This window comes from Homo sapiens, chromosome 6 (assembly GCF_000001405.40).
Source record: "Homo sapiens chromosome 6, GRCh38.p14 Primary Assembly".
Classification (NCBI taxonomy): domain Eukaryota; kingdom Metazoa; phylum Chordata; class Mammalia; order Primates; family Hominidae; genus Homo; species Homo sapiens.
The window spans coordinates 141,803,785-141,812,675 of record NC_000006.12 but is presented as its reverse complement, the minus strand read 5'-3'; positions in this window follow the sequence as shown (position 1 = coordinate 141,812,675).

Here is an 8,891-nt window from a genome sequence, read left to right as displayed (position 1 = left end):
TCTTTATGGGCCACTTGTAAGTAGGAAGTTAAAATATTGAGTGCCATTTGTTGATATGCAGCAAAAGGTGAGCTGTTTGCAATTGGTGATAACATCTAAAAAGTTTGATATAATCATAATCTAGAATATGATTTATGAAGATTATTTATGGATGAGTTGTCGAAATAAAAACAACTTGAAAGTTGTAACATATTATAAGACACACACACCCCTCTGTCTTTCTATCTCTTAAAGTTAATTTTCCAAGATAACAGAACATTAAAATGCTGTGACCTTTTAACACTTTGTTTTCCTAAATAGTTAAGTATGAGATAAAGCATGGTGACAGTGTCTAACAAATGATTAATTTGTGTCCCACTCCTTCCCTGGAGATGTTAGAAAACATAAAAATAAGTTCTCTCTCCCTCATTCCATTCAAGCATAAATCTTTTAGTTAATAATTGCAAACTTGGTTTGGGGGTTCATTTTGAGTAAATCTCTCTCACACTAAATTCTCTTCTCTGTTTTCCCCCCTTCACTCCTCTTTACCTATTTTATATTTTCTTTCCCAAGAGGAGCATGAAGAATTAACTGAAAAATAGTAGCTTAAAATTCATTTGTAGACCTTCAGTTTAAACAGGATGAAGTATTCACACTTTGATTCATCCCCTCTGCTTCAATCACAGAAGTGAGCTTGCCATGTAGGGAAAGAATGTAAAGTAGTGAGAGAGATGTGTCTTCAGGCTTATGGACTGTTGGGAAGCAGTCAGAAGCAATCTGAGAATTTGTCAAGGGATGAAAATTTGCCCCACAGAAGGTGAAGTACTGGAGCTGATCCCACTGCTACAAAAATCATGTGTTGGGATAGATCTAAATACTGCCTGAGGATTTGAAATCTGTAAAGCTGCGGATCTAAGAAAGGAAGAGTACACAGAATAGTCACCAGAGATGAAATGTTTCCCTCCTGTCTCAGATTTGATTTGGCAATTTATTCTTGTTGTTGCTATTGTTATTGTTCCAAAAGCTTGTAAGTACACATATATGTCTTGGATTTGGACTGATGTCCAGTAGTTTGGCTGAAGAAAAGAACAAAATAGTTTGCTAGTTGGAGTGTAGAAAAGAAATAGAGATAGAGATGAAAAGAGAGATAGGGAGAGAGAGAATCAAAAGAAATCTACATCTTAAATTTTCAAAACTAGTGATGAATATAAATGCTATGAAGAACTACCCATAAAATCAAGAGTTTTATGATAAACTTTTTCAAGATGAAATTAAAATAATAGAACAGTTTTATAAAGATGACAAAGTAAGTTTATTTAGAAAATTCAAAAAGATAAAAATATAACATATTGTAAAAATTGTTTTAGTTTTCTATGGATGCATATTAAATTGCCGTGTTTTAGTGGCTTAAAACACTTGATTATTGTCTCAGATTCTGCAGGACAGAAATTTAGGTATTTTTCAATTGGGTTCTTGATTAAGTATTTCAGATGGCTGCCATCATTATGTTAGATAGGCTGGGCTCTTCCCTAGAGGCTTAATAGAAAAAAAATCTCTTTCCAAGCCCATTTGGTTGATGGCAGATTCAGTTTTTTGGAGGCTTTAGGATCGTAGTCCCTATTTTCTTGTTCATTGTCAGCTGAGTACTGCTTTCAGCTTTTAAAGGTCATCCTCAGATCCTTGCAAATTGGCTTCCACTATAAGCAGTTCACAGCATGACTGCTTCTTCAAGGCCAGCAGGAGACTCCAGGTTCAAATCTCAAACTCTAGGGAAGGCCTGGACCCTATTTTATAGAGCTTACATGATTAGGTCTGACCCATGACAATCTCTCTTTTGATGAACTTAAATTAACTGATTATGAACTATAATTACATATGCAAAATCTCTTTACCTTTGCCATATAATGTAACCTCAGCACAGGAGTGAAATCCCATCATAGTCATGAGTCCTAACAAGAAGAGGGGATTATTCAGGTGTGCATACAGTGTGGTGGAGATTTTAGGAACCGTCTTAGAATTTTACCAACCAATCAGCTTTAACTAAAAGTCCAGCATATACTATTTGGCCTAAAAATCTTTTATATGTCTTTTTAGTTTGATTTTAAATTAGCACATTTACTAAAAATGAGGGCAGATATAAGAGAATTAGACCTTTCATGCATGATATCTTAACTGAAACTATAATAAGATGTGTAAAATCAAAGACCTGCATAAGGTATAAAATCTATAGCTTCTCCAGTGTAAAATCTAATGTGTCATATTGCCTCAAATGTTTGCAATATACTAACAAAAACATCAAAGTTATAAGCTGAAACCTCAGGAGAATCAGATAAATCCCTTCCAAGTTATGAGCTGCATTAGGGTCCCAAAGCTGCCATAACTAAGTGCCACACACTGGGTAGCTTAGAACAACAGAAATTTATTGTCTCACAGTTCTGGACAATGGAAGTCTAAAATCAATGTGTCTGCAAGACTGTGCTCCCTCTGAAACCTGTAGGGTAATACTTTTTCATTGTCCTTTTCTAGGTTCTGGTGGTGGGTTGCCAAATTTTAGCATTCTTTGGCTTGTAAGTGAGTCACTTCAGTCACACAGCTGTCTTCTTCCTGTGTGTCTTTACATCATCGTCCCTATGTGCATGTTTGTCTCTATGTCCAAATTCCTCCTTTTTATAAGGGCACTAGTCATACTGGATTAGGATCCATTCTAGTGACCTCATTTTAACTTGATAATCTCTGTAAAGACTTTATTTCAAAATGCAGCCAAATTCTGAAGCATTGAGGGCCAGAACATCGATGTATCTTTTTTGGGAGACAAAACTCAACCCCTATAATGATCATCTTTAATCTTAGCTATTTAGGTACTGCAAATGTTCACTGAGTTTATACGCTGTGTCCATGTCCCTTCCTCTAGCATGGTGTCCCAGTTCTCAGGTGAAACATAATCTTGTCACATCAACTTTACTCTTAAATATCTCTCAATCCTTAACACTTTTTTCACTCCTACTACTATGTCTACACTAAACTTCTATCATCTCTAACTTACACTATTAAATTGTAACTGGTCTTACATCCACTCTTGACCTCATACAATCTTTTCTTCTTTCCCCACTGCTATCAGAAGCGTCCTTCAAACAAGTCACATCAACTTACCCACTTGTTCAAAACTCTTCTAAGACTCCCATTGTTCTAAGGCTACAGAACAAAGTCTTATCTTTTCTAGTAAGACAAAGTGAATTGGTTCCTGCCTACCTGCCTCCTCGGTCATATTCTACTGAACATAGTCATATTCTTGCTCTCTCTTCATCAGCTACTGAGGCCTTCTCATAATATGTTGGGTATACAGTCTACCACAGAGTCATTGTATGTATTGTTTATTTCCCAGGAATGATGTTCTCAACTTCTCCTTCTTCCTTAAATTGACAAACTTTGATTAATCCTTCCAATCACGTCTCTAACCTCACTTCCTCAGAAAAACTTTCCCTGACCTTCCACAAAAATATCTTCCTTTCCTTCTGAGTTTTTCTCAGTTAGGAAATTATACCTTAATTGATGTGATTATTTGAAACATATTCTTTGTTCCACGAAATTGTGTACTTTATGAGATCAAAGACTGTGCCCTTATTTTCTGCCATAGGCATAGTGTTTATCAATTAGTAAATATACATATTTGTTGGATGAACAAAGGATTTCACTCCATGACACTATTTGTGATCACAGTGTGGGCCAAGTTTAGGCACACAGCAGCAAGGAAAACAAAGTGCTGACCTGGATCAGTGCTTTCTGTCCTGGGCATTAGAAACCTGTGGTATACTAGAACTCTGGAGTAGTTTGCCTTGAGCTGAACTGATCAAGTCATTCTAGTTACATGCCTGAATGCCTTAGGACTATAGTGTTCATAGTGTTCAGGCAGAGGAAACTAGTCTGCAGGAGAGAGAAAGAAAGGAAGCAAGAAGGAGAGAAGGAAGGAAGGAATGAGCAATAGGCCTTTCAAAAGAAACAGAGATTCAGATGACATGGTCACCGAGAAACAAAGAAAAGCTTCGGTTTCTAGTTTTTCTATTCCCAGCTCCCATGCCCTTAAGCTGTGTTTGCTGCATTTATGTTGTGCAAAATTCTCCTACTTGTGCATGCCATGAACTTCCAATTTAGAATAAATCTGTTTGAGTAGTCAAATATGCCTTCACTCCACCAGTTCATATTTTAATTTTAAATAAAAAATGACTGTAAAATAAAACAAAGGAATAAATATAAGCAAATTATTTCAACTACAATAATATTAAGGACCTGGTGCCATAGTCTTGTTGTGTCTAGGATTATATTTTTATAACAAAGGACAGAGCAGAGCTCATTTGAGCATGATTCACAAAGGATTAGAATTTTTTTAAGGTTTAAGTTTGAATAAAGAAAACTGTATTTTTAATAAGTTCTTCCTCTCAGTATGGTTTAAAACTGCTCTGTAAATTTATTTTGAATGCTCTGAGATGCACATGATAATTCTTTAAAACTTTATATTTTTAGTGAAACATTATTTTGATTTTGGTGTTAATGATACTCAACTGTTTATCTCTCTCCAAATGTACCCAAAGAACCCTTCCATTGGCGTCTCCCACTGAGCACAAAATATGCTAATATAGTCATTAGTGTTTCTAATTTAAATCCATTAAGAAGGGGAAGATAATATTGAAGATGTTACCAATTTGCAAAATAACCTAATTTATATGCATTTTCTACTCTATTTCTCAACTCTAGCTATGTTGGCAGAGCAGTAAGATGAATTTAAAGTGTTCTCTCAAAATATCCTGAGACCATTTAAAGTAGAAAGACACTGGTGATTCAACTATTCTGTAGAGCTAAAAGAGGAAATGTTGGCAGTTTCCCACAAAATTAAAACATAAAAGATGCATACATACATACAGGTATAGCATAATGCTCTCCTTCATAGGCTTTCTTAAATCACCATTCCAAGTTATTTATCTCCTAAAACCCTCCATTTGTACCATATTTATTTGCTTTATGTTCACTCCAGTGATGTTGTTGTTTAGATTACAAACTTTTTGTCAAATATATTTTTGAGAATGTTTAAAGTTGTTTTGAGAATGTTAAAGTCAGGTATTAATGGCATTTGAAAGATTTTACAATTTTCACTCATGTAGATAATAGGTAGACAGAAACTATACAGAAGAAACAAAGCAATATGCTCTAGAGATTGTGAATTTTTGGAAGCATTAATTCCAAAAAATAGAGTATGGCCTGTGACAGGCATTGATTTACCTATGTTATCGTTTTACACCAGGGGCTATAGTCTCTGACCCCAAAAGCAATCTTTATGCTTTCTAGAACCAACAAGTTTAAAAATCTTGTTGTAAGCTTATTGCATTTCTGATTCTACCCTTAAAAATATGCTGAATGACCTTGGAGGAAATTGCTTATGTTCTCCAGTCTTATTTATTTTCTAGGAAAACAATACATGTTATTGTGACTAGATTATTTTAAAAATTACCTGCATGTAGGTGAATGCAGTGGCTTCATTTTGTTATTTATGATGCTGCCTCAATTTAGGATATGTTTAGAAATTTTTTCTTTTTCCCAGATGAAAATGTATTATGATGTTTATGTGATGTTTGAATGAGACACAGCTTTATTTTGGATTTCAGTTTAACGTATGACTTATTCCCCTTCCAAAATAGATTGAAACCCACACCAGGGACGTCATGCAGCTTACCATAACATTGGAAACCATGCACCAATTTTTTGTTTCTGTTATAGACGTTTAATGCATATGGAAAATAGGATGCCTTTTATATAGCTTAGTTCTTCTTCCTTAATGCTTGTGAAATGTATAATTGACATGTGAGTCAATTTAAAAAATTGATGAAAAACATGAAAAAACAGTTTTTTTAAATAAGTAAATTGACCTGTGAAATGCAGAAAAAATATTTGAGAGTATAGAAAGATAGTTTTTGTCTTATTTTAGTCCTATCCTATTTAATGAAGCCACCTTATGTAGCACCTTGGTTCAGATTGAAAATGACTACCGAGGAGGTTCTGGGGAGAACGGAAAGAGGGAGAAGCTGCCAGGAATGCACTTTAAAAGAGACAGGGGAGGGGAAGCCTGTTCATTTCATTCAGCATAGCATGATGCTCTCCTTACATAAAATGCCATTTCTTTTTCTTTTTCACCTATCTAAAGTCTTCCTCTGTAATTCCAGATCAAATCTCATCTTCTCCATAAAAATATGTCTGGATGCTTGGTATCCATATCCATATCCATATCCATATCTATATCCATATCCATATCATATGATATTGGTATCATCATAGCAATATTTACTTCTGACATGATGTGCCAGGCATTTTTACAAGCATTTTCAAAATAATAATTTACTGAATTCTCACATCTAACCTAAAAGGTTTCCATTTTACAGATGAGGGTGTGGAGGTTTCTGGAAGGCAAGGATTTGACCTTTAGCTTCATAACTAGAAACTGTTAAAATTGGGATTGGAATTCACAGAGCACCCAGAATGAGTACACTTAATTCATATGTTTACATTCCATCTTTTTCTTTGAAGTCTTAGGGCACCTTTCTATTTTAAACTTTTATTCTTTTTTTATTTTATGCTGCTATTTATCTTTTTCATACAATTATCTGTACTTAAGGGTGTAGAGTGTAAATTTCTTGAATACAAGGACACAGAGAAGAATCCTGTAATGATACTGAAGGAGCTGCTAAGTTTCTGCTAGATTAATGAGACTGAAAAAACCTCAGAACCTGTTGGGCATCTGGTCTCCTTCAGTACATTTCCATAATTTACAAGAAGTTTTTCAATCGTGGTGCTGCGGTCTTTTGGGGCTGGATAATTGTTTTGGGCTGTTGGCTGTATACGTTGTTGGATATTTACTAGCATCTGGAGCATCTACATGCTAGGTGCCAGTAATGCTCTCTTCTCCCATCCAGAATTGTGAGAACATGTCTCCAGACTTAACAGTGTTACATGGGACACAAAATCAACCTTGGCTGAGAACCACTGCTTTTGACTTTTCTTGTCTATTATGTGAAAAAATTTTGCAGAATTGTAAAACTACACAAATTCTGCTTCTGTCACCATTTGACTAAGTTCAACTTTCCAGATAATGTACATTCTGTCTCTTCATTTATTTTCATGGGAACTTGTGAGCCATTTCAGTACATCACTCAGGAGTCTCCCTAGACTTACTTCCTCTTAAAGCCAAACACAAACCATTTCTTCAACTTTTTAAAAGAGAATATTTCCATACCTTTCAACATCTTGCTTTCTCTCTTGTTTAGGTTATCCAGATCATCCATGATTACTGTAAAATATGTAACTAAATCTAAAGTAGTTGTTGGACACCTGTTTTCTGTCATTGGAACATTTAAAGCCTGCGTCTGCAATAAAATGTTGCATTAAAATTATTCTTTTCACAGATCTTTTTTTAGGTTAAAAAATTACTTTGTAAGATTAATATATGGATGTAGAAATTAGTGATAAATATTTAAAATTGCTCCTGTAAGTGATAAGTTCAGTTGTTTCTACAGTAGTCCTCCATCTGTGGTTTTGCTTTCTGCAGTTTTGGTTACTCTCTGACCAAAAATGTTAAAGTGGGAAATTCCAGAAATAAACAACAAGTTTTAAATTGTATGCTGTTTTGAGTAGTGTGATGAAATCTCTAGCTGTCCTGCTTCATCCCACCAGGATGTGAATTATCCCCTTGTCTGGAGGAGCTATTCTGTATATCCTGCCCACCTGCTAGTTACTCTGTAGCCATCTTAGTTATCAGATTGACTGTCTCGGGAATGAAGTGCCTGTGTTCAAGTCACTCTCTTTTACTTAATAATTGTCTTAAGTGAAAGAATAGTGATGCTGGCAATTCGGATGTGCCAAAGAGAAGCTGTACAGTGCTTCCTTTAAGTAAAATGGTGAAAGTTTCTGACTTAAGGAGAGAAAAAACCACATATGCTGACGTTTCTAAGATCTAAGGTAAGAACAAACCTTCTGTGTGAAATTATGAACAGCATATTGTCATAATTATTCTATGTTATTATTTTTAATCTCTTACTGTGCCTAATTTATAATGAAAATTATTCATATGTGTGTATATATAGGCAAAAATGTAGTATATATAGGCAAAAATGTAGTATATATAGGACTCAGTACTATCTGCGGTTTCAGACATCAACTGGGAGTCTTGGAACACATCCCCTACAGATAAGGGTGGACTACTGTATATTTTAATACTGTATCTTTTAAGGTATATATATATATATTTTTTTTTCCTGATGTATTCTTTCATTTCCAATGACCTGCACGACACCTGACAAGTAAAGTGCTGGTTTAAATTCCGGGCAGTGGCTGTCTGGAATTTTGAAATGACTTTATAAGTTTAGTAATTTCTACGAGATCTAAAATTAAAAAGCAGATATAGGATGTGAGACTCCATTAATTAAAAACCCGTGGTAGCTGGATTATTTGGATGACGTCTTCATCAGTTCAATAGGCGATAACGTAATGGGCCATGTATTAGTTTTTTTACCCAAAATAACTCTAGTAGCTCCTCTGCCTTTGGAAAGGGGAAGAAAGTGTGGGAAGGACTGTGGCTTGTGGTTTCAATGCCAGCTTAGCTACAGGAAAATAGAACAGCAGTTAGAGTTCTTTGACTTTTTACTCAAGGCTTTGACTCCTGGATGGTACCTCAGTACGAACCTGGGGCCTGGGGGACCTCACCACCCTGAAGAGAAGGACACAGACCTGACTGGCTTTGAGACTGGTTGATTGTAGAGCCACAGGGCCTTGAGCAAACATAAGTAGTAGCCAGGGAGTGGTTACAGCAGGCCTTGGTGGGAACTTAGTGTTGTACTGACTGTAGGTCTGACCCGGCACAATTGTAGTGGTGA